Source organism: Homo sapiens, chromosome 18, assembly GCF_000001405.40.
Source record: "Homo sapiens chromosome 18, GRCh38.p14 Primary Assembly".
In the NCBI taxonomy this organism is placed as follows: Eukaryota; Metazoa; Chordata; class Mammalia; order Primates; family Hominidae; genus Homo; species Homo sapiens.
The window spans coordinates 6,506,727-6,534,403 of record NC_000018.10 but is presented as its reverse complement, the minus strand read 5'-3'; the positions used below and the strand labels follow the sequence as shown (position 1 = coordinate 6,534,403).

Below are 27,677 nucleotides of genomic sequence, written 5' to 3'. Positions count from 1 at the left end.
TTTTAAAGGTGTTGCAAAATTAGAACATATTAATTATAACAGTCTATTCTTATAGGCTTTAGCACCTACAAACTAGGCTCACAGTCTAAAAACTCATAAACCTACACCTTCCACCATAGCCTGAGACTATTTGAATAGTCATGGGTAAATAGATCATCCTCTATAGAATTTGCTTTCTTAGATAGGCTGTGGCTTGTGCCTCAAAGGACAAGACTAATGTTTAAAAGGAATATTTCTGAATTCCAAATATTTCTGTTAAAGGGATCAGTTGTCTCTTCCTATCTAAGCACAATTCCCATGCATGGTATGGTAAATGTTAATACCTTTAATATTTGTACTTTGCTATGACAAGAATAATCAATAATGTCATTTCTGGGGAGTTAGTCCATGGCTGAATGCTCTGGCCTGTCACAGAGCAAATACAAGATGCATAGTTAAATTTGAATTTTAATAAACAATGAATAATTTTTCTATATAAGTATAATATTTTGGACATGCTTGTACTAAAAATTTATTCATTGTTTATCTGAAATTCAAATTTAACTAGGTGTCTTGCATTTTATTTGCAAATCTGGAAACCCTATTGCACTCTTTTGATCTAAAGTCTCAAAACATGTGCTATCAGCATTCAGAAAATATGTAACTATCCAACGTCAATACAGGAGAGTTGTATTCATCCATTTTCATGCTGCTGATAAAGACATACCCGAGACTGGGCAATTTACAAAAGAAAGAGGTTTAATGGACTTACAGTTCCATGTGGCTGGGGAGGCCTCTCAGTCACAGTGGAAGGCAAGGAGGAACAAGTCACATCTTACATGGATGGCAGCAGGCAAAGAGAGAGGGCTCATGCTGGGAAACTCCCATTTTTAAAACCATCAGATCTTGTGAGACTTATTCGCTATCACGAGACCAGCATGAGAAAGACCCATCCTCATGATTCAGTTATCTCTCACTGGGTCCCTCCCACAACACGTGGGAATTATGAGAGCTACAAGATGAGATTTGGCTGGGGACACAGAGCCAAAACATATCAAGAGTCAAACTTAAATAGTGTTGACATATGGAAGGGGGATATTCTAGTCCAGTCCCAGATAGCATGTCATTTGAGCAGTTTCTGAAAGATCTAGGTCTTGAGCCAATATTATGTTCTCCCTTTGAATAGTGAGGATTGGTCACCCAAAAGCCATTCACAATTGCTTTTATTCCTGCTTTCTTTTATGACAGGAGTTGGGAAGACAAAATGTTTACTTTTCCAGAATGCCAGTAGCAAGAGGTGACCACATGATCTGGTTCTAGTCAATGAAAGGCAAGTTGGAGTCACTGGGTTATACTTCCAGGAAATCTTTTATGAAAAGGCCAGACCTCATTCACTTGTATCCTTTGGAATTTTTGCTACTTCCCCATTTTTTTCTGCTGAATATGCAATCAAGCAATCATGAGGACATGACATTCAATCATGAGGCTACAAAACCTGAGATGAAAGTCTTTGCACTCCAGTAGGGAAGAAAGAAGGAAAGAGGCAGCCCTCCTAGAACTTCTTGTTACTGGAAATACATAAGCCTTTTACTTGTTGTTGTGGGTTGAATGGTGACCCCCAAGAAGGTAAGTCCACATCCTGAACACTGGAACCTATGAATGTGACCTTATTTTTTTAATGATTTTTCGTGCAGATGTAATAAAGTTAGGAATTCAAAATGAGTGCATCCTGAATTATCTAGGTGGGCCCTAAATACAATGACAAGTACCCTTATAAGAGACAGAAGAGGAGAAGACACAAGTGATGCAGGATTTTTACTCCTTAGTTCAGCTAAATCTGGGTTCTTGTCTCATAACCAGGAAAAATTAGGCATGTGGACACACTGAAAGGTGAAAAGGGCAGAATCTATTAAGCAAAAACAAAGCTCTCAGCAAAGAGAGGGAGTCCTGCCAACAGGTTTCCACCTCTCTAATTGAATATCAGGGTCACCATACACAAACTGAAGAGGCCAGTCTCTTCCCCGCATAAGGTGCAGATTCCTGGTAGTTCCACCCCATTCCCTAGTGCACACGTGGGTATGCCCAGGCAAGCCATAGGTAGTATTGGAAAGGCAACATTCAATTGGCTATAAGGCATTATTCAGAAAGAATCAATGGGGAAAGGGCAGGCAAACTGGGGCAGACATTCTCCCTCTGGATCACAGGTTTCATCTGGGACCAGCAGTCTGGTCTTTCAGCCCTCAGGCTGTTTTAGGCTTGAAGGTGGGGTTTTCACCAGGGACCCTTCCCTATCTGCCTAGGCATTTGTCTGCCTCCTGCCTCTATCACAAGGACAATAAAGACCAACTGAAGACGAAGGTGGAGATTGGAGTGATCCAGCCACAAGCCAAGAAACACCCGAAGCCACCAGAAACTGAAAGAGGCAAGGAAGGATTCTCCTGCAGAGCCTTCAGAGGGAGCATGGCCCTTCAGACACATTGATTTCACATTTCTGGCCTCCAGAACTATAAGAGAATACATTTCTGTTGTTTTAAGCCCTCAAATTTATGGTAAATTGTTATGGCAGCCCTGGGAAACTAATATACTTGCTTATGACCTTTTTTTGTCATATCTTCTGCTATATGCTTCCAAACACAACTTGATACAATTGTCTTTATCATTTTTTCTTTTTTGTCTTTTTCTAAATTCAAATTATAAAAATATATCATGTACTAACGAGAAGAACTGGATAAGTCAAATGAAAAGAAGACACTATATAGTGTAATATTGTTTGTCCTTATGATGAAAATACAGGTTGATATATTTTATAATTATATATTTTCCAATTCTCTCCTTCTCTACACCCCACCTACTCCATATAGGTACATGTGTACATAAACTGCTAGACCACTATTTAAAATATGTACAAATTATTTAAAATATTTAAAATATTTCATCTTTTATGAGCATACACAAAATAATGATTTTATAAAAATGTAAAACATTCCATTTTAAAATCACATTAAAAGAAATCCTGCCTTTAAAATGTAAATATCATCATTAGAATTTTTTTTTTTTTTGAAACAGGGTCTCACTCTGTCACCGAGGCTGGAGTGCAGTGGGGCAATCTCAGCTCATTGCAGCCTCTACCTCCTGGGTTCAAGTGATTCTTGTGCCACAGCCTCCTGAGTAGCTGGAATTACATGCATGCACAACCATGCCCAGCTAATTTTGTATTTTTAATAGAGACGGGGTTTACCATGTTGCCCAGACTGGTCTTGAACTCCTGAGCTCAAGTGATCCACCCACCTCAGCCTCCCATAGTGTTGGGATTACAGGCGTGAGCCACTGCACCCAGCCTAGAAAATAATTTTTAGTCTCATCAAATGTTCAGCAGTGTAGGTACTTCTAAAATGAATTTTAATTGCTAAAAGTGGAACCTATGTTAGATTTACATTAAGAGGTGAAAGGAAGGATAACTTCAGAATTTCACGTTGAATTTTTTCTTGTTTTATAGAATTCTAGAAACTAATATTACTAAAAATAAAAAGACCATTGGAAGGCTGGGTGCAGTGGTTCACACCTGTAATCCTACTGCTTTGGGAGGCCAAGGTGGGAGGATTGCTTAAGGCCAGGAATTTGAGACCAGCCTGGGCAACATAGTAAGACCCCATCTCTAAAAAAATACATAAATAAAAACAATTACTTGGGCATGGTGGCAAGGACCTGTAGTCCTAGCTAATCTGGAGGCTGAGGCAGGAGGTTCTCTTGAGCCCAGGAGTTCAAGGTTACAGTGAGCAATGATCATGCCACTACTCCAGCTTTGGTGACAGAACCAGATCCTGTCTCAAAAAAAAAGAAAAAAAGTATTGCAACATAGAGTCCTTTAGAAGCTAAGGACAGTTAGTCTTCAAGATACTCATCTCACATTCAATGACACCCATAGGCTCAATGTAAAGGAATGGAGAAAGATCTATGAAGCAACAGAAAACAAAAAAGAGCAGGGCTGCTATTCTTACTTCAGACAAAACAGACTTTAAATCAACAACATTCAATAAGAACAAATAAGGACATTACATACTGATAAAGGGTTCGGTTCCACAGGGAGACTTAACTATCCTAAATATATATGCACTTAACACTGGAGTACTTAGATTCACAAAACAAGCTCTTAGAGACCTATGAAAAGACTTCTATAACCACACAATAATAATGGGAGACTTCAACACCCCACTGACAGTGTTAGACAGATCACTGAGGCAGAAAACTAGCAAAGATATTTGACCTAAACTCGACACTTGACCTAAACTCAACACTTGACCAAACCGACCTAATATACATCTACAGAGTATTCCACCCAACAACATAATATACATTTTTCTTATCTGCACATGGCATATACTCTAAGATTGGCCTCATGCTCAGCCATAAAGTTATTCTCAACAAATTCAAAAAAACCAAAATTGTACCAACCACACTCTCAGACCATAGCACAATAAAAATAGAAATCAGCACCAAGAAGATCTCTAAAAACTATACAATTTCATGGAAATTAAGCAACCTGTCCCTGAATGACTTCTGGATAAATAATAAAATTGAGGCAGAAATAAAAAAATTATTTGAAGTAAATGAAAGAAAAAAAAAACACTACAGCATACCAGAATCTCTGGGACACAGCTAAATCAGCATTAGAGGACAGTTTATATTGCTAAATGCCTACATCAAGAAGTTAAAGATCTCAAATTAACAACCTAACATCACATCTAGAGAAGCTAAAAAATACAAGACCAAACCAACCCCAAAGTTAGCAGAAGAAAAGAAATAACCAAAATCAGAGCTGAACTGAATGCAAATGAGACATAAAAATTCATACAAAAGATCAATGAAACCAAAGATTTTTTTTTAGAATAAATAAGATTGATAGACTGCTATCTTGATTAATAGAGGAAAAAGAGAAGATCCAAATGGACTGAATCAGAAACGACAAAGGTGACATTATCACCGACCCCACAGAAGTACAAAAAATGCTCAGAGACTATTATGAACACTTCTATGCACCTCTATGCACAAACTAGAAAACCTACAAGAAATTGATAAATTCCTGGAAACATAAAACCTCTCAAGATTGAACCAGGAATAAGTTGAAATCCTGAACAGACCAATACTGAGCTCTGAAATGGAATCAGTAATAAAAAGCCTCCCAACCAGAAAGGGCCCTGGACCAGATGGATTTACAGCCAAATTCTACCAGATATATAAAAAGGAGCTAGTACCAATCCTACTAAAATTATTCCAAAAAAGCAAGGAGGAAGGACTTTTCCCTAACTCATTCTATGAGGCCAGCATCATTCTGATACCAAAACCTGGCAGAGACATAATGAATAAAGAAAACTTCAGGCCAATATCTCTGATGAACAAAGATGCCAAAATCCTCTCCTGAATGCAGCAGCACATTAAAAAGCTAATCCACCATGATCAAGTAGGTTTTATTCCTGAGATGCAATGTTGATTCAACATATGCAAATCAATAACTTAATAAATGGAAAAGGCTTTTGATTAAAATTCAACATCTCTTCATGTTAAAAGCCCTAGTTCAAAACCCTAGTTTATTAAAAAACAAGCTAGGCATTGAAGGAATACACCTCAAAATAATAAAAGCCATCTATGACAAACCAATAGCCAACATCATACTGAATGGGCAAAAGCTGGAAGTGTTCCCCCTGAGAACTGGAACAAGACAAAGTTGCCCACTCTCACCACTCCTATTCAACACAGTACTAGAAGTCCTAGCCAGAGCAATCAGGCAAGAGAAAGAAATAAAAGGCATCTAAATAGGAAGAGAGTAGGTCAAATTATCTCCCCTCACAGAGGATATGATTCTATACCAAAGATGACTAGGGATAGCAGGTTCAAGAAATGGACATAAGTGTCTGTGTGTGTTGGGGGGACTATTGCTAATTAACCTAGACTAGTGGGTCTTAATCTTGACTACAAATAAGAATCAGTTGGGAAGCTTTACAAAATATGTGGGCCCCACCCGGAAAGATCCTGATTCCATCATTCTGGAGTGGGCACCTGTCAGGGGTATTTGTAAAAGCTTCCAGGCAATTTTCACTCACAGCCAGGTCTAAGACTCACTGATCCAGATTGATGGTGTGGGAAGGTCTCCAGGCCTCGCTTTGAGGAAGGAATACTACAAATACAGGGTAATGACAACAGCCCTGCCATTATTAAGGAGTCATGAGCTGTTTTAGTGTTTTTATGGTTTATTCGCTCCTCACAACAATCATACTAGGTAGATACTGTCTTTATTTTACATATGAGAAAAGTGAGAACCAGGAATTGCAATAACTTGTTCAAAGTCACACTGCTAAAAGCAGTCAAGGCAGGTTTGAATAAAGCTTCACCTTCATCTGAAGGCTGTTCCTTCTCCATTACATTTCCTTGTATGCCCACTATTGCTGGTATTGAGTAAAAGATGTAAAATTTTAATTTGGGGATCACTGCTGACCCTATGAAATGTGTGGAGTTGCCTGCACATTGTAACAAATGAAAGAAATAAAATTCTCATTCCAATTGCAATTTTCATCTTCAAAAGCCAAACTGGCTGATCCTTTTAAAGGTCTGTGAAGGCTTCGGAATGGGTATGCTTGGCTAAGCTGAACTGAAGTCCCAGTTATTCAGTCAGGCACTTTGCCTTTGAAAGGTGTTCTCCTGAATGGGGCAATTAAGTTTTGCCTGTAAAATAGTGACCAGTGCAGACTGGTATTTCCCACTCCACAGGTCTGGTGTCCACATCATGGTGGTTTTGACTTTGTGTGTCCTTGTTCACTATCCAGTTCTTTGCAATAACTGGAAAGCTGTCACTTGGCCCCAATAAACTAAGATAATAGTTATCTCCATCCAGAATCCCTCCTATTCCTGCTTCCCTTCTTGCATTCCCATCTGCAAGGCTTGGCCTTCTCCCAGGTCATAGGCCTGTATGTGTAGGTGACAATTAGACTAGTGTCTCCCAAATTAACTTAGCTGATGACAGGCTGGTGCTCATGGAGCTTAATGAGTGCATTTGATGCTGACTTTGATCCTTTTGTTTTACTCAACCCAGTGTCCGTAGGCTGGACTTCTTACTCAGGTCATGTCAGAAATCTGTGGGTTTTGTCCCAAGTGCAACTGGGCAAGACAGGCCATTGTAAACACATCACTCCTTGGAAAATTAATTCAAGGTATGCGACCAAGGGTGGCCCAGTGGCATCAGCTCAAGCCCTCCTTACACACGAGAAGGAAGTCCAATCTGCAATCTGGAAGTCCAAACCTAGGAGTCCTTCGCATATTTGCATTCTCACAGGAAGTAAAACTTTTTGGTGCTTATTTGTATACTTGGTTTTCTGTTCTGAAGCAATGTCATCTTGATGTCTCAACCTGAGGAGGAATGAAATCAAAGATGGTAGTGTTGGCCAGGCACGGCGGCTCATGCTTGTAATCCCAGCACTTTGGGAGGCCGAGGTGGGTGGATCACCTGAGGACGGAAGTTCAAGACCAGCCTGTCCAACATGGCAAAAGCCTGTCTCTACTAAAAAATACAAAAATTAGCCAGGCGTGGTGGTGGGCTCCTATAATCCCAGCTGCTTGGGAGGCTGAGGCAGGGGGAATTGCTTGAACCCAGGAGGCAGAGGTTGCAGTGAGCCAAGATCGCAATATGGCACTCCAGCCTGAGCGACAGAGTGAGACTCCATCACACACACTAAAAAAGATTACAGTGTTGATGTAAATTTGAATAACCCAGTTTACTCAAGTTCAACATCTTTGCATTTTCAAATTCAATTCCATTTAAATAAGAATGTTTTATTTCTTGTCTAAGATAAGAATTTATGAATATTGCTCTTATCACTAGCCACCTTACTGGATGGTTTGGGGCGAAGCAAAAACATAGCAAAAGGGTATTATCATTCTAAAAACACCTTCTTCTTTAAAGTTCATAGTAATTTTTATAATATGTATTCACATCACAGCCCATTTGAGATTTGTCAATATTCTTTTCTCTATATAGATTCGGGGTGGGGGGAGACAATAAAGAAAACCTAAGCTGAACAAGTTAAGTCAAATGTTATACTTTCATGAGGTAAGTAACGCATTCATTCATTCATTCATTGCGTCATGTATTTAGTGAGTATTTGTTGAGTGCTAGGCTTCAATTACGAAATAATTTGGTTGAGGTGTGTGTGTGTGTACATGAGAAGGATATACTCTAAAAATGCTTTTAATTGTTAACGTATCTGTTATTTTATAGTTTTTATGCATGCATTATTCTTTATTGTTTTACCATTAGGAACAATTAATTTAACATTCTCACACATATAAAATCAAGAAAATCTCGTTCCCTTAGGAAAAAAGCTTCACCCTACCACTCATCTTGAAATAGCAATTTAGTGTGTTAAAATGCCCAAGATTCATATTAGGGAGGCAAAAACAAACACTAAAGCTGCACAAAACAAACACTATTATCAGGCAGATGAATATTTAATCAATTCTTATTTGTTTTCTTGGTCTTTTAGGTGTGGCTAGTGCCTATGTATATGCCCGGCTTTGGACAAATGGAGTCAGTGGAGGCAGTGTTAGCTGAAAAGTCCTATTTAAACAATCAAATTGGACAGCTCCTGAGCTTCAGGCTGTCAGCACAGTCAGGCTGTAAAAGAAACTATTCTTGAGTTTCCCAAGTGTCTGTAAAGCATCCTGCCCTGACTTTTCTGGGCAAAGGCTTCCTCCATGGTAAGAAAGACTATTCTAAGGAAGAGGAGGGAACTTAAATTAAGCAGCAAGACGGGTACAGTGCTTTTTTCAAATCTCGAGTTGTGAAATCAGTGTAGTATGGCATGACCAGCATAGAATGCAATAGAATGGAAGAGACTGAAAAAGGATTGAAAGCATCAGAACGCATAGCATGGCATGGCCAAAGGTAATGTTTCAGGAAAATTTTTTCCTTAATATATAATCTCCTGTATCATCTATTTCTCTCTCTCTACTGAATCTTCCCATTGTTATACACAGAAACATGCAATCTTTTTTTTTTTTTTGAGATGGAGTCTCGCTCTGTCGCCCAGGCTGGAGTGCAGTGACGTGATCTCGGCTCACTGCAACCTCTGTCTCCCGCATTCAAGTGATTCTCCTGCCTCAGCCTCCCAAGTAGCTGGGACTGCAGGTGTGTGCCACCACACCCAGCTAGTTTTTGTATTTTTAGTAAAGACAGGGTTTCTCCATGTTGGCCAGGCTGGTCTCAAACTCCTGACAGGTGATCCATCTGCCTTGGCCTCCCAAAGTGCTAGGATTACAGGCATGAGCCACCACACCTGGCCAACAATCATTTCACTTTAAAACAAAACAAAACCTTTCCTGATCCCACTAATCCCCCTAGTTACTGCTTCAATTCTTTCCTTCGTTTTGAAGCAAATTCCCTGAAAGTGGTACGACATTTTCTCATTTCTCTCCTTCCATTCTGTCTTAACTGTCTTTCCCTTAGGGTTTCAAGCCCATTATTCCAGCAAAATTGCTATCGTCAAAGTCAGCAATGATGTCTACATTTCTAAATTCAAAATTCAATGGTGAATTCTCAGCCCTCATCTTGCCTGGCTGATCAGCAGTACTGAAGATGGTGGTTCACTCTCTCCTCTTTGAAGCACCTCCTCTCATCCCTTCCATTGTTCCCATGATGGTCCAAGCTGCCTTCTGTCTCCACTGTATTATAGAACTAGGCTCCTAACTGCTCTCCCTACTTGCATCCTCACCCACTACCCACATTCCCTTCTATACTATATTCTCAACATAATGGTTAAAACATCTCATTCCTTTGATTAAAACCCTCTACTAAGGCCAGGTGTGGTGGCTCACGCCTGTAATCCCAGTACTTTGGGAGGCCAAGGCATGCGGATCACGAGGTCAGGAGTTCAAGACCAGCCTGGCCAACATGGTGAAACCCCGTCTCTACTAAAAATTCAAAAAAATTAGCCAGCGTGGTGGCACAGGCCTGTAATCCCAGCTACTCAGGAGGCTGAGGCAGGAGAATCACTTGACCCTGGGAGGCGGAGGTTGCGGTGAGCCAAGATTGCACCACTGCACTCCAGCCTGGGTGACAGAGCGAGACTCCATCTCAAAATAAATAAATAAAACCCTCTACTAACTCCCATGTCATTCAGAGTTAAAGCCAGTATCTTTGCAGTAGCCTGCAAGGCCCTATACAACCTGCTCCTGACTCTGACCTTATTGTCCACTGCTCTCATTCTATGCTACCATCTCTGGCCACGCTGACTTTCTCCCTGTTCCTCAAACCTCCGAGGCATGCTCCCCTTGCAGAAGTTCTGCATTTTCTACTCCCATGCCTGGAAGCCTCTCCCCTAAACAGGTGCCTGGCTCACTCCTTAATTTCTACCAGGTCTTGACTCAAATCCACCATCTCTGTGAGGCCCTCCCTGGAAACGCAATATAAACTTTAACACGTGCACTCACTTTACACTCCTCTTCCCTTAGCACTGTCAGGCAAAATTTCAACAAATTTAGTTTAAAAATCACTAGGTAGCCATAGAAATGTATTTTTCAATGTAAGTTGTGGTCAAAAAGTCTCTGGTATAATAAAACACAGCTTGAGCTAAGAACCCAGATGAACCTGGGCTCACACGTGGCACTGAGGACAGTCCTTTGACGGGTTCTCTGAGCTAATGCCCATGTAGCTCCCTTCCTCGAGCCAGAAAGCTCTCTTCTCCACCCCACACTTAAATGGCATAATCAAATTATTCCTTCAAAAGACAGATCATCCATAAAATACTATGTAGTCATTAAAAATCATGTTCTAGAAGAATATTTAATGTTACAAAGTGATAATCCTAGTACAGTACTAAGTAAAAAGTCAATTTATAGCTCCATTTATAAAAGCATGTATTTTGTCCCACAGTTCTTGAGGAGTAATAAATAGTACATAATTAATTTTTCTACGTTAAATTATGATTAGCTTGCCAAGGTGAGAGAAAGTGGAATATCCGTCATGTTTTTGTGACTCCCTTTCCACTCCTATGTGGCCAGGACAGGGAACTCAGATGGCCCAAGAAAATGGCAGTTACTCAACAATCCTGCTCAGTGCTGAAAAGCCTCTCCTCTGGCCCCTTGTAGTTCATCAGAGAAAGAACTGGTGATGCTGACCATGTGCCCTCAGGGAGAGCATCCCTGGACCTCTGTGGTCAGTGCCAGGCTGCCAGAGATCTCCACACCAGCATCTCCCCACCAGGTGGTCTGTGGGTGAGGCCCAGATCTCCATCCCTCCTGGGACCACATACTTAGCCTCCTCTCTGGGTCCTGCTCCAATGACCTGGCTTAAAACCCTTCTGAGGTGAGATCAAAAGCTCACACGCAGACTTTAGACCCTCTCTCTCCACCATAATCCACTCATTTAAAGCAAGAGTCTATGGAGGAGTTTCAAGGCAGCCCATTTCACACACCTGAAACCCCAAAAATGCTATTAACTGTTCCGATTCAAAGGAGCATGGAAGAAAGGCAGGGCTGTACTGTCTTCCAGTGGGAAGGGCAAGGAAAATAATGTGTTAAGTGTTTTGTTAATGAGAGTCTATATAGCTGGAAAACAGATTTATTTTGTAAGTAATACCTACAGTAATTGAGAGGGAGAGAGAGAAAATACATACCTCACCTCTTACTTAGCTGGTGATGAGTTCTAATAATTTAATTGTTTCTTCTCCCATTCATATTGTGTATGGAAATAATAGTGGTGATTTTAGGTAGCATGAGTGACTCAAGGAAGAAAGGGACACGGTTGGGTAGGGAGCCTTCGAGGCTCAGTAGCTCCATGCTTCCTCCATCTATTATTAGAGTAGGTGGGACTAGCAGAGAACTTCTTCAGACATCTTTTCCACAACAAAAGAAGAAACGGTTTTCATAAGGAGAATCTATTGCAGCTAAAATGCAGAACTGAAAAAAATATCCAGGCGTGACATCAGCAAGATGGACTAGAAAGCTCCAGGCCCTCCTTCTGCCACAGAGACATGGAACTAATAGCAATGTATGGACTAGAATACCTTTGTGAGAACTCTAGAGACCCGTTGAGAAGCTACAGCATGCAGGCCAAGGTAAAACCAAGAAGAGATTCCAGCAAATAGAAAAATGCATGTGTGCCATGCATTTCATGTGTGCCCATCAGTGCCTCTCCCTCTACACAGCATAGCACAGGGCAACCAAGAGGAAAACCTCCATACTAAGGTTCCTCCCTCAGAATAAAAATAAAAGAGTAGACCATGTTTCTAACATTCTGGATTGTCTGGGGGCTGCCTGAGAAACTGGCTTCTGTCTCTCCTGACTTGGAGCACTAAAGGAACCAATGATAGAGTTGGAAGATGCTTGAAAAGAGGCAAGCTGTACATTAGAGTTGCAGTTCCACAGGTGGACAGCAGGGGAAGCAAGAGATCAAAAAAGGTTTGAGAGGTCCTAGAACCTCTAGCTGGGCTGATGGGTGAAAGCCTTCCCTGCATGAAGCCAGTATGTAAAGACTGGGAGATGTGGTTGATTTTTCAAATGCCCAAATTTCAACAGATTATAAGGCATAAAAATGAAAAAAGAAAACACAACCTAATCAACAAAACAAAATGAATCTCTCAAAACTGATCCAAAAGAACTGCAAATCTATGAACTCCCTGACAAAGAATTTAAAATAACAGTCATAAAGATGACCAATGAGCTTTAGAAAAAGAGAACACATATACACAATTAAAAAGAAATCAGGAAAACTATGCATGAGCAAAAGGAGAAAATCAACAAAGAGATGGAAACTATAAAAAAAAACCAATCGAGTTTTTATTCTTCCTTTAAAAGACAGTTATTTGAAAAAAAAACCCCCAAAAATATCTGACTAAAAAATTCACTAAAGGGGTTCAACAGTAGACTTGATCAGATAGAAGAAAAAAATCAGTGAATTTGAAGGCAGGTCATTTGAAATCATCCAGTCAAAGGAACAAAAAGAAAAAAGAATGAAGAAAAGTGACATAAGGGACACAATCAAGTGGGCCCAACGTATACATTATAGAAATCCAAGGAGAGAGAGAGAGAGAGAGAGAGAGAGAAAGGAGCAGAGAAATTATTAAAGAAATAATGGCTCCAAACTTTCCAAATTTGAAGAAAGAAATAAATTCAAAAAGCTCTAACTAGCTTTGGGATAAACCTAAAGAAAACTGCACTGAGATACATTGTAGCCAAACTGTCTAAAATCAAAGACAAAGAGAGACTCCTGAAAGCAGCAAGAGGAAGGCAACTTATCACATACAAAAGGAGCTTTCATAAGATTATCAGCAGATTTCCCAGCAGAAACTCTGCAGGCCAAAGGAAGTAGGGTGACATATTCAAAGTGCTGGGGCCAGAGGGAACTTGTCAAACAACAATACTGCATCTGGCAAAATTGTCCTTTGAAAATGAAAGGCTTTCCCAGATAAATAAAACCTAAAGGAGTTTATTACCACTAGACCTTCTCTACAAGAAACACTAACTAGAGTCTTTCAAGTAGAAACAAAAGGATTTAGACAGCAACACAGAGTCATAAGAAAATATAAGGTTCTCAAGCAAGAGTAAAGACATGGATAAATATAATAACTTATATTATTGTTAATTTGGTACACAGAATTTAAATGATGAAAATATTTTAAAAACTACATCTATTGCATAAATATCTTTATACAACACAAATATCTGTGGCATCAATAATAATGGCGATTTTATAGTATGTGATTTAGCACTTTATTAAGTGTTGTATAAAGATATTTATACACATACTGTAAAGCATATTGTATGCTTTGTAAAGCATGTATGTGATTGGAGTTAGGTTATTATCTGTTTAACATAGTATGCTGTTTTCTTTGTCTTTGTAGTCAGAAAAAAATAAAATAAAATAGTGTGCTGTTAAGTTTAAAAGCATTTTATAACATTTAATAAAATGCTATAACTTTTTTGTTTTATGTAATTGCAATGGTAGCTACAAAAAATCTGTAAAATATACAGAAAATGAAATTAAAAGTAAGTCAAAGCATGCCATTACAAAAAAATTTAATGAAACACAAAGGAGGCAGTAAGAGAGGAAAGGAGGAAGAGAAAAGCTACAAGACATACAGAAAAGAATGAACAAAATGGCAATAGTAAGTCCTTCCCTATCAGTAATTACTTTAATGTAACTGGACTAAACTCCCCAATCAAAAGACAGTCATCGAATGGATAAAAAAGTCACAGGATCCAACCATATGCTGTCTATAAGAGCCACTTACATCTAAAGACGACACAGGGTTGGAAGTGAAAGAACGGAAAAAGATATTCCATACCAGTGGCAACCAAAAGAGAGCAGGAGTGGCCATACTAACATCAGACAAAATAGACTTTAAGTCAAAAACAATTACAAAAGACAGTGAAAGACACTATATAATGATAAAAGGGTCAATTCACTAAGAAGATATAACAATTATAAATATTTGTGCAGCAAATCAAAGCCACAAACATGTGAAAGGAATTTTGACAGAATCAAAGAGAGAAATAGACAGCAACATAATAGTAGGAGATTTCAGGACCTCCTCTTTCAGTAATGAATAGAACAACCAGACAGAAGATCAATGAGGAAATAAAGGAATTAAATAACACTATAGACCAATTGACCTGACAAGACATATACAGAATATTTCACTCAATAACAGCAGAATATACATTCTTCTCAAGTATACAGAAAACATTCTCCAAAATAGCCCACATATCTTAACAAATTCAAGAAAGTTGACATTATATAAAATGTCTTTTCTGCAACTACTTTTAACTTCATATGGAAGCAAAAAAGAGTCCGCATAGCCAAGACAATCCTCAGCAAAAAGAACAAAGATGGAGGCATCAAGCTACCTGACTTCAAACTATACTACAAGGCTACAGTAACCAAAACAGCATGGTACTGGTACTAAAACAGATATATAGACCAGTAGAACAGAACAAAGGCCTCAGCAATAACACCACACATCTACAACCATCTGATCTTTGACAAACCTTACACAAACAAGCAATGGGGAAAGGATCCCCTATTTAATAAATGATGTTGGGAAAACTGGCTAGCCGTATGCAGAAAACTGAAACTGGGTCCCTTCCTTACACCTTATACAAAAATGAACTCAAGGTGGATGAAAGACTTAAATGTAAGACCTAAAGCCATAAAAACCCTAGAAGAAAACCTAGGCAATACCATTCAGGACATAGGCATGGGCAAGGACTTCATGTCCAAAACACCAAAAGCAATGGCAACAAAAGCCAAAATTGACAAATGAGATCTAATTAAACTAAAGAGCTTCTGCACAGCAAAAGAAACTATCATCAGAGTGAACAGGCAACCTATAGAACGGGAGAAAATCTTTGCAATATATCCATCTGACAAAGGGCTAATATCCAGAATCTACAAAGAACTTAAACAAATTTACAAGAAAAAAACAAATAATCCCATCAAAAAGTGGGCAAAGAATATAAGCAGACACTTCTCAAAGGAAGACATTTATGCAGCCAACAAACATATGAAAAAATGCTCATCATCACTGGATATTAGAGAAATGCAAATCAAAACCACAATGAGATACCATCTTAACGCCAGTTAGAATGGTGATCATTAAAAAGTCAGCAAACAACAGATGCTGGAGAGGATGTGGAGAAATAGGAATGCTTTTACACTGTTGGTGGGAGTGTAAATTAGTTCAACCATTGTGGAAGACAGTGTGGCAATTCCTCAAGGATCTAGAACTAGAAATACCATTTGACCCAGCAATCCCATTCCTGAGTATATACCCAAAGCATTATAAATCATTCCACTATAAAGACACATGCACCTGTATGTTTATTGTGGCACTATTCACAACAGCAAAGACCTGGAACCAACCCAAATGTCCATCAGTGACAGACTGGATAAAGAAAATGTGTCACATATACACCATCAAATACCATGCAGCCATAAAAAAGGATGAATTCATGTCCTTCGTAGGGACGTAGATGAAGCTGGAAACCATCATTCTCAGTAAACTAACACAAGAACAGAAAATCAAACACCGCATGTTCTTACTGATAAGTGCGAGTTGAACAATGAGAACACATGGACACAGGGAGGGGATCATCACATACAGTGGCCTGTCAGGGGGTGGAGGGCTAGAGAAGGGATAGCAATAGGAGAAATATCTAATGTAGGTAACAGATTGATGGGTGCATCAAACCACCATGGCATTTGTATACCTATGTAACAAAACTGCACGTTCTGCACAGGTACCCCAGAACTTAAAGTATAATAAAAAACAAAAGAAAAAAATAAATCCAGGAAAAATAAGAAAAAAAATTATTTTCTGATCTTAATGGAATAAAACTAGAAATCAAAAGCACAAAGAAAATTAGAAAAATCCTCAAATACGTGGAATTTTAAACATGCTCTTAAACAACCAATGGTTCAAAAAAGAAGTAACAAGATGAATTAGCAAATACCTTGAGACAAATGAAAACAAAAACACAACACAATACAACTTAGGAAATACAGCAAAAGCAGTGCTAAGAGGGGCATTTATAGCTGTAAACACGTATATCAAAAAATTAAAAAGGTCTTAAATCAAACCTAACTTTACACTTCAAGAATCTAGAAAAGAAGAACTTACTAAAACCAAAGCTAACAGAAAGGAGGAAATAATAAAGATTAAAGCAGAGGTAAATAAAATTGACAATAGGAAAACAATTTAAAAATCAATCAAACTAAAGTTGTTTTTTTGAAAAGATCAACAAAATTGACAAATCTTTAGCTAAATTGCGAGGGGAAAAAGAGAAAATTAAAATCAGAAATAAAATATGGGATATTACAGGTAATGCTACCAACATAAAAAGGAATTACAAGAGAGTATTATGATCAATTGTGCATCAACAAATTGTCTAACCTAGAAGAAATGAGTAAATTTCTCGAAACACAGAACCTACCAAGAGTGAATCAGGAAGAAACATAATCTGAACAAACTAGTAACTAGAAAGGAGACTGAATCAGTCATCAAAACCCTCCCAACAAACAAAAGCCCAGGACCAGAATACTTTGCAGAACACTCCACTAAACATTTAAAATTAGGCTGAGCATAGTGGTTCACACCTATAATCTCAGCACTTTGGGAGGCTAAGGCGGGGGAATTACTTGAGCCCAGGGGTTTGAGACCAGCCTGGGCAACATAGAGTGACTCTATCTCTACAAAAAATTAAAAATTAGCTGGGTGTGGTAGCACATGCCTGTGCTCCCAGCTCTGTGGGAGGCTGAGGTGGGAGGATCACTTAAACATGGGAGGTTGAGGCTGCAGTAAGCCATGATTGCACCACTGCATTTCAGCCTGGGTGGCAGAGTAAGACAGTAAGACCTTGTCTCAAAAAGTAAAAACTAAAAATAAAAGAAGAATTAATACCAATCTTCCACAAACTCTTCTAAAATATTGAAAAGCAGGGACCACTTTCAAGCTCATTCTATGAGGCCAGTGTTATCCTTATATCAACATCAGACAAAGACATTACAAGGGAAGAAAACTACAGGCCAATATATCTGACGAATATTGATGCAAAACTATTCCAAAAAAACTAGTAAATTCAATTCCAGAGCACACTCATGAAACACACACACAAACACACACACGACAAACTAGGACTAGAAGAAAACAACCTCAACATGATAAAGCCCAAAGCGAACATCATACTTAAGGTATAAAACTGAAAGCATTTCCTCTAAGATTAGTAACAAAGATGCTCACTCTCACCACTCTTCTTCTCCTCCTCCTCCTTCTCCTCCTCCTCCTCCTCTTCCTTCTTCTTCTCCTTCTCTTCCTCATCCTCCTCCCTCCTCCTCTTCCTCCTCCTCCTCTTCCTCCTCTTTCTTCTTTTTAAGACAGTATCTCACTCTGTTGTCCAGGCTGGGTTGCAATGGTTCAATCACAGTTCACTGTAATTGAGGTCCTGGGATCAAGTGATCCTTCTGCCTCAGCCTCTCAAATAGCTAGCTGCAGGCGCACATCATTGGGCCCAGCTATTTTTTTTTAAGGTAGAGATAGGGTCATGCCATATTGCCCAGGCTGGTCTCAAACTCCTGACTTCAAGTGATCCTCCCACCTCAGCCTCCCAAAGCTCTGGGATTACAGGAGTGAGCCACCATGTCCAGCCTCCCTTTCCACCACTTCTGTTCAACATAGTATCGGAAGTCCTAGATAGGGCATTAGGCAAGAAAAAGACATTAAAGTCATCCAAATGGAAATGAAAGAAGTAAAATAATCTCTGATGCCATGTTCACAGATGACATGATCTTATATGTAGAAAACTCAAAAGATTTCACAAAAAACCTGTTAAAACTAATAAACAAATTCAGCAAAGTTGAAGAATACAAAAGCAATACACAAAAATCAGATACATTTTTATACACTAACAATGAACAATCTGAAAAGGAAATTAAGAAAACAATTCAATTTACTATAGCATCAAAAGGAATAAAATACTTAGGAATAAGCCTCACCAAGGAGATGAAAAACTCATACAGTAAAAACTATAAAACATTGCTGAAAGAAGTTAAAGATAACAAAAATAAATGGACAGCATCTCATTCTCATGGACTGGAAGATTAACATTAGTTGTTAATATATTCATGCTACTCAAAATTATCTGTAAATTCAACACAATCCCTATCAAAATCTCCATGACACTTTTTGCAGAAATAGAAATTTTTATTCTAAAATTTTATGAAATCCCAAGGACCCCCAAATAGCCAAAAACATTTCTGAAAAATAAGGAAGTTGGAAGAATCACATTTCCTGTTTCAAAACATATTACAAAGCTATAGTAACAGAAACAGTATGGTACCAGCATGAAGACAGATATGTAGACCAATAGAACAGAATAGAGAGCCCAGAAAATAAAACTCATGGATGTGGTCAAATGATCCTTGATGAGAGTGTCAAGACAACTCAATGGAAAAAAAGCAGTCTCTTCAACAAATGATATTGGGAAAACTAGACATATGCATGCAAAAGAATGAAGTTTGACCCTTATTTTATACCATATACAAAAATTAACAAAGTGCATTAAAGACTTATATATAAGACCCCAAACTATGAAACTCCTAGAATGAAATATAGGGGGAAAGCTTTTCTGCATTTTATTTGGCAATATTTTTTGGATATGACACCAAAAACACAGGCAACGAAAGCAAAAATAGACACATGGAACTATATCAAACTTAAATGTTTGTGTATCAAAGGATACAATCAACAGAGTGAAAGGCAACTTACAATTCTTTGCAAATCATAGAAAATATTTGCAAATCATACATTTGATGAGTGGTTAATAGGCACTATATATAAAGAATTCTTACAATTAAAAAAAAAAACCCAGAATTAAAAAAACAGGTAAAGGACTTGAATAGTCATTTCTCCAAAGATGACATACAAATAGCCAACAAGCATATGAAAAGATATGCGATATCATTAATCATCAGAGAAATTTGAATCCAAACCACAACGAGATATCACCTCACATCCATTAAGATGGCTATTCTAAAACACAGAAAGTCAGTGTTGGTGAGGATATGGAAAAATTGTAACCCTTGTGCATTGTTGGTGGGATTGCAAAATGGAGCAAATGCCATAGAAAATAGTATGGAAAATCCTCTAAAACTGAAAATAGAAATATCATATGATCCATAAATCCCACTTTTGAGTATATATCCAAAAAATTGAAGATAGTGCTCAAAGAGATATTAGCATTCCTGTGATCATTGCAGCATTATTCACAACAGCCTAGAGGTGAAAACACCTAAATGTTCATTGACAGATAAATGGATAGTCAAACTGTGGTCTCTACATTTGATGGAATATTATTCAGACATCAAAAGGAAGGAAGTTCTGACACATGTTACAGCACGGACATGCTACAGCATGAATGAACCTCGTAGACATTATGCCAAGCAAAATAAGCCAGTCACAAAAAGACAAATGTGGTATGATTATACTTATATGAGGTAAATGCCTGGAAGCGTCAAATTCATGGGAAGTAGAATGGTGGTTCCAGGTACTGAGGGATGGGGAAATGGTGAGCTGCTCTTTAGTGAGTACAGAGTTTCAGTTTTGCATGAAGAAAAGGTTCTGAAGGTCTGTTTTACAACAATGTAAATACACTTAACACTACTAAACTACCCACTTAAAAAGAGTTAAGATGGTAAATTTAATGTTATGTATATTTTACCACAATACAAAAATACAAAGATCACTATATATCTTTAAGAAATTAGTTGGTTGCAGTGGCACACACCTGTAATCTCAGCTACTGAGGTGGGAGGATCCCTTGAGCCCAGAAGTTCAAGACCAGCCTGAGCAACAGAGTTAAGACCCTGTCTAAAAAATAATGAATATCTTTTAAAAGCACATAGGGAATAGGGGCAGATGTTTTCTGAAACAACTATGTGCCCAACATTTCTTTATCAGCTACTAGTTGACTTTCAACTGCCTTTCTTAGTTTCTCCATCTTTTGGGGTCACCGAGGAATCGATTATCAACTTCCACAATCCAGTTCACCGCCTTTAGCTACTTCATATTTTTGTGTCAATTTCTGGGAGAATATGATAAGGCATCATGCTAATTTCTGGATCTCTTTTGTGCACAAAGAAAAGAAAAGCAGATGTCACCTTGGAGGAATTGCAAGTAGTACCAGGGTCCACTCCACTTCAAGTGACTCTTTCCTCAGGGCCTCAGGGGACCTGGAGCTGCCAGAGCCTGGAGAAGCATAATGAGCGTTTCAGGAACAACCTTCTAGGTCTCAAAAGTGGGTGGCTGCCTGCAACCGGTTGTCATTTTTCTCTGCAGTAACCATCTCTATAAAGCTGACTGCTGCTACCGGCTGCTTCAGGGAAGCCAACGCAGACACCAAGCCCCTTGCCAAACACGTAAAATGGATCCCTTTAGTTCTGCTGATCAGCCTGTAGACTTTTTCCTGGAGTGAGGAGGCTGGTGTACCTGGTGAAAACTGCTGTTTAATTCGCTTTTTCTCCCCTGGGGAAGCATAGCTTAGCCAAAAAGGCTAAATTCTGAGAAGATTAAATTAGTTTGCATAAAAGGCAGTGAATTTCTGGGTAATTTGTTCAGGCACCCGTGTGTGCCACTTGGATTACTTTCCCCAATTATGCAGGGTAGTCTGCAGGTCTTTAGGGGATTGGGTTTTAATACCCTCACTTTCCTAATGCTAACATCCTAGGGTTTATGTGCCCCTCCAAAGGAAATGCTGCTTTAGCGGATTTGGGGATGAACTCATGCTGGTTGGAAAGTTTCAAGTGTTGAGTAAACTCTTCCATATTATGAAGGCATGTATAACACTCCCTGTTTAGGATTGGACCACCACAGGTTTGCGTGGCTGTCTGCTACTTTCAGACAATGCTTACAAAATATTTCCTTTTTCTAATTCTTTATCACCATATTAATCGTATACCCCTCTTCACATTCAACTGAACTAAAAACAGACAAAACCAAAACATATAGTTGATCTCCCAGTTCCTGCCACTGCCCATCAGCTGCCTATAATTTCTCAGCTTCACAACTTGTTGTATTTCAGTTAGGATATATTAAAACCCAGAAACTAAGGTACAAGTTGCATTCTTATTCTACAGAGAAGAAGGGCACCCACTCCACCCCTGAGAGGTGGAGGTCCCTTAGACGTTCCTGACCCATGCGATCTCCCCTTCCCTGAAGACAGGGCCAGAACTGACTCCCCACCCCTCCACTGGCTGTACACATATATACACACATAGATACATATATATGTGTAATATACATACACTATATATACACATATATACATGTGTGTTTACATATGTGTGTGTGTATATATATATGTATTTACTTATTTATTTCCAAATATCCCTAGTACACTCTTGTGATTAGAAGCCTCCTGCTTAGGGGGTGGAGTTCGGGGTGGGAGTTGGGTCTGGGTTTTAATCTGGAGCAAAATAAAGACTGGGTTTTAAATTTTAGGATAGAGCAAAGAGGAGGGTTTCAGGAGTGAGAGGTTGAGAGGTGCATCTCGGAGTTAGGTAAGTGTGGCGTGATAGGAGGGGAAGGGTGGAAGTTGCAAGACCTAAAAGGAATATGAAATCTGGGCCCATAGTGTGCTTAGGCTGGTCCTCAAGCTAGGATGATGAGCTACAAGGTTCTTTTTCCCACCACTTTGCCCTTTTCCCACTCATCCCCCAGTTTCCCTCCACTTTACTCCCAGCAAAGCAAGAGGTGTCTACATGGAGAGAGTTGATCAAAACAAAACACATCACTCTGTAGACTGCTGGGGACATACACTGCTGGAGGCTGTAGGTCAGAGGATGCAAACCCAGTTGCCTGCAGTCCAGGCGAGAAGCCTCGGTAAGGGAGGTACTGGGCTCCCACCCACTGTGGGAGGTGGAGAAGCATGGCCAGCCGGAGCTGGTGTGCCCTGCCTGATGTCATTCAATGAAGACAATTCTGCGTTATCAAAATATGTCTCCCTACTGCCCATCTTAAGACCCTGTTGGTCTTCATAACTCATTCTAAACAACCAGCAAGCAGCAGCAGCCCTGAGAATGGTTCTCCTTCCCATGAATGGAAATTCCTGTGCAATCTCACAGGTTGAATGCTGTAATCAATGTACAGGCACCTGGAACACTGCTCAGCACACCGTGGGTTCTCAGTGGAGGTTCAGATGAGACCTGAATGTCACCAACAAAGAGCTCTTCTGCGTGCTCCAGGTATAATCCCCATAAACATCTAAGCATAACTTACCCTGAACTTCGGTGTGAGAAACACGAATCCGTATTGATCCAAGGATACTTAGATCCCATTGTGGCACCGGGTTTTCCAAGACCCCAAGGAAGGGAGGCGCTGGCACCATGTCTGTACATCAGTGTGTGATGTCCACGATTATTACAGGATGAGAGGGCACTGCTCATCCCCAGGACCCAGAGAGCTTTGAAATACTCATCCTGGTAGCTGTTGGACCAGTCTGAAGTGAGTCCTAGTATTATCCCTGAGTTATCCATAGAAGGAAAGGGAAGAACCAAAGAAACAAAGTCTTCTCAGCTTATGTAAAATTTAACTCATTCATTCATGTATTCATCAACTTTGTTTGAACACCTAAGTCCCAGGCATGGTCTAGGTGTGGGGTTCTGTATAAACACAAAACAAATAAAGGTGAGTGAGGGGAAGAGAAGAGCCCTCAGGAAGCAGTCTCTTCAACTGGCCAATGACTTGCATTTTGTGCACAGCAGTCATATGGAGCCCTGCAGTGGAGGCCTTGCCTGCTCCCCCAACCCCTTACCTCCACACCACAAGGCTGCTTACCATGAACACCTGTGACTCTGCCTGAGGGATTATTTTTTTTTCTGATGGCAGGAATACACTTAGCTCTTATCTCCCTTACAAAGCAAGCCAAAGTGCTGCTTTGCAGAAGTGCTGCTTTCTAGAAGCAGCCCTCAAAAGCCGATAAACGGCTGGTGGATACATACCCCAAATGTCTCACCCCTCAATGGGATAACTCTGAGGTGTGCTCTATGCTGCCTGCCAGTGGCTGGGGGACTTTACAGGCTTTATTTTCCCTTTCCTGTCTCGCTTTCCCACTCCCCTACCAGTGTTTCCTGGGTTCATCTCCCAAATAAACTATTTGTATGCAGATCCTTGTCTCAGGATCTGCCTCTGAGGGAACCCAAACCAAAGGACCATATTACTTAGATTTTTCTGGCTAGTGTTAGTTTTAAAAATTCCATCCCACACCACTATATGGCACATTTCAGGTTTAGAAAACCTGTTTGCCATGTGTATAGGCCATAGAAAATATCTATGAAAGAATAATCCTTGTTTGGAATCAATAAAAGCCACCTTATCCCTGCACTGTGGCATGTGCCTCTATGGATAATAGAAATTAAAATATGATAGAAAAGGTTGTTTTAAGATTTTTTTTTTAGTAAGTAATTTTCTTAATATTTCAATTTCTAAAAATGGAGTCTGGCTTTTTTTGCTCCATGCCTAGGATTGTAGGAAATTTTCTAGTATAAAGGTCAAGGCACACCTCTAGCCATGGTAAAGCGTGCTGGGTTAATAAGCCCCACTGGGCTGGCTCGGCTCAGCCCTCACTCCTGTCTGCCTGCCCCTTGCTCTTCTGATGGCCACTGTCACCAAGTACCATGTTACAGAGTCTCCTTGAAGGCAAAAGAAAGAAAAAAAATCATCTTCGTTCCAGACAGCCTGGAAAAAAATACACATAGGGAAACCAATATGGAAAAAAAGATAAACAGCAAGCTTCAGAATTTGTTTAGTGTCATGTTACTTGTCTCCCAAAAGTCTTGATTTTAGCCAGACTTCCCTCAGGCCAGTTTGAAATAAGGACATTTTGAACTGTTGAATCATAGCCAAGCTGCATAAAAAGCCTGCTGATATGCTATTTCTGTGTTTTATGCAAAGGCTAGTGGGGGAAAAACGTTTTTCAAACAGGTCTAACCACAAAGAAGTCACAAAACTTTATGAAAATCTGCTGAAGATATTTGGCTAAGTGCCTTGTCCTATAAGAATTGTGTACATCAGAGAAGACACAATGGCAGAGATAAACACATACACATACACCCCACACCCCACCCGGTTTAACATTTTCTCTGAGGCATATATCAACAAGCAGGACATTGCCTACTTATCTTACAAAAGATAGATTCATCTACAACAGCCACCTACTTGGCATCCCTAAATCCGCTGGAGCAGCCAAAACTGGCTTCCGCCTTCACAGGTGATTCTGAGAGCCTGTCTCCAGGGGTTACACTCGGAAGTGACACAGCAGACAGTTTTAAGAACAGTGACATTGCAATCTCAGCCCCTGAGGAAAAGAAAAGAAAGAAGAGATTACGGAGGAAAGACTAATGGCTTTTGTTAAAATACAGTGACCATCGAACACAAGATAGAACATGCTTAGAACGTGGAAAAGCAAAGGAGAAATGTCTTTACTAATTATGATGAACCAAAACCACTGAAGTTACTGAAACATTAGAAATCGTCAAATACGTAGCACAAGAGTTTTATTTCATGTTGTTTCGAAATCATCATGTGCAGACTTCAGATAAACATTGTTGAAAACACTTTAATTTCTGAAACAAGTGAAAAATCAAAATAGAGGAGGCCGGGTGCAGTGGCTCATACTTGTAATCCCAGCACTTTGGGAGGCCGAAGTGGGTGATCACGAGATCAAGAGATCAAGATCATCCTGGCCAACATGGTGAAACCCCGTCTCTACTAAAAACACAAAATATTAGCCAGGCGTGGTGGCAGGCGCCTGTAGTCCCAGCTACTAGGGAGGCTGAGGCAGGAGAATTGTTTGAACCCAGGAGTCTGAGGTTGCAGTGAGCTGAGATCACTCCACTGCACTCCAGCCTGGTGAGAGAGTGAGACTCTGTCTCAAAAAAAAAAAAAGTCAAAATAGAACTATATTTTTTATGTATGTCGAAATCGGATTAAGGCTGGGTGCAGTGGCTCACGCCTGTAATCCCAGCAGTCTGGGAGGCTGAGGTGGGTGGATCACCTGAGATCAGGAGTTCTAGACCAGCCTGGCCAACATGGTGAAACCCTGTCTCTATGAAAAAAAAAAATTAGCTGGGCATGGTGGCCCATGCCTGTAGTCCCAGCTACTTCGAAGGCTGAGGCAGGAGAATCACTTAAAACCGGGAGGTGGAGGTTGCAGTGAACTGAGATTGCACCACTGCACTCCAGCCTGGGCGACAGAATGAGACTCTGTCTCCCCACTGCCAAAAAAAAAAAAGAGTCCAGTTGTGGTGGCTCACGCCTGTAATCCCAACACTTTGGGAGGCCAAGGCCTGTGGATCATCTGAGGTCAGGAGTTCAAGACTATCCTGGCCAACATGGTGAAACTCTGCCTCTATTAAAAATACAAAAATTAGCCAGGCATGGTGGTGCATGCCTATAGTCCCAGCTACTCAGGGGCAGGGTGCTGAGGCAGGAGAATCGATTGACCCCGAATAGCAGAGGCTGCAGTGAGCCGAGATTACGCCACTGACCTCCAGCCTGGGTGACAGAGCGAGACTCTGTCTCAAAAAAAAAAAAAAGAAAAAAATATCAGGTTAAGACTCACATCACTGAGCCTCTTTCCAAAAGGTAAAATTCAATTCAATTAATTGAATTTAGTGAATATTTACCCAAAACATACCAGGATCTGGATATTCTATGTAACCTCTCCATTCCTCAGTTTCCTTATCTATAAAATGTGCATAGTCATAGTACCCACCTCCTAAGGTTGTTTATTAAGTGAAAAACACTTAGAATAATGCCTGGCAAACAGTGAGAAAAATCTGGGTTAGCATTTGGCAGCAGCAGCACCCACATCATCACCATTATTAGGGAACCGAGCACTGCTGGAGATAGAAAGTGGAGACAGGCACAGCCCTGCCTACATAGGGGTTGGCATTTATCAGGAGAAATACGCTAAAGACACAGATAACTATAACACAAAGCCACACGTGGAAGGTTCCCTCAGTAGCAACCACAGCACACTCACATGTGGAACCGGGCGCCCGTTCAATAAGACAGAATTATGTCAGGGACATTGCTCACCTGGAATCACTCACTCTGGGCATCAGAACTCTGACTCCAACAGTCAAAGGGCCCACCCAGTTCAGGTATCTAACACCAGAAATGTTCTTTTGACTTGGGACTTCATGAAAATGAAAGGGTGGGTTGTTTTTGTTTAGATGTTTTGGTTTTTGAGATAAGGTCTCACACTCTTTCATCTAGTCTGTAGTGCAGTGGCATGATCTTGGCTTACTGCTGCCTCGAACTCTTGGGCTCAAGTCATCTTCCCACTTCAGCCTCCCGAGTAGCTAAGACTGACTGGAAAACAGGTTAGTTGTTCACCGCATTTAGAGTCCGATTAATGACAGTGAGGCCTGGTACAAGAAAAGTGAATTTATTTCCAAAGCTAGCTTGGGGGCAGGACACAAGGTGCACTGTCTTAAATGTACCACTTCGCCTTAGGAGCAAAAAGTGGACTCTTTTATAAGGTTAGAGGGGAAGGGAGCTAGGGCAGGGCTCTACTGGACAGTTGAGTTGGAGCCTTCCTGGGAAGAAATAAGTTATAAAAGTGGCCAAGTGGGCATGCTTTTGACATGCCCTCCTGAGGCGACCTTCTGGAGGTCATGCTCTGATCTGCAAATTGACTGTCGGCTCTGGAGGAGAGATCCATCTTGGCACACATAAATGAACTTGTCCTGTAGGGAATGTCTGGTGAGAGGGAGGTGAGAGGTTATTTTGCATTTTAAAAAGGGCTAAGTAGGAAGCAGGGGGAAAAGAGAAAGGAGAAAAGAAGAAAAAATAATTAAACTACCTGTTAGAAAAATGGATGTACTTGGTTACAGGACTACAGGCGCATGCCACCATACCTGACTAATTTTCTAAATTTTTAAAGAGACAGGGTTTTGCTATGTTGCCTAGGCTGGTCTTGAACTTCTAGTCTTGAGCGATCCTCCTGCCTTGGCCTCTCAAAGTGCTGTGATTACAGCCATGAGCCGCCGTGCCCTTCAAAGGGTTTATTTGAATGAATAAACCTATGCCCTGTTACAAGAACACGTACCCTTATGCACATGAGTAATAAAGGATATACATGCTGGTGACCAGAAC

General features: G+C 40.1%; 1 long non-coding RNA gene across 1 annotated transcript in view; it reads right to left on the bottom strand.

The window, feature by feature from the left end:
• The window catches only part of LINC01387 (long intergenic non-protein coding RNA 1387), a 79,238-nt gene extending 56,250 nt beyond the window's left edge, over window positions 1-22,988 (bottom strand). Inside the window, exons 1-2 of the long non-coding RNA NR_120518.1 lie at window positions 22,794-22,988; window positions 20,678-20,765 (exon numbers count right to left, since the gene is read on the bottom strand). This is a non-coding gene — a long non-coding RNA (long intergenic non-protein coding RNA 1387). The remainder of the gene's footprint in view (window positions 1-20,677; window positions 20,766-22,793) is intronic.
• Between the last annotated feature and the right edge of the window lie 4,689 nt (window positions 22,989-27,677).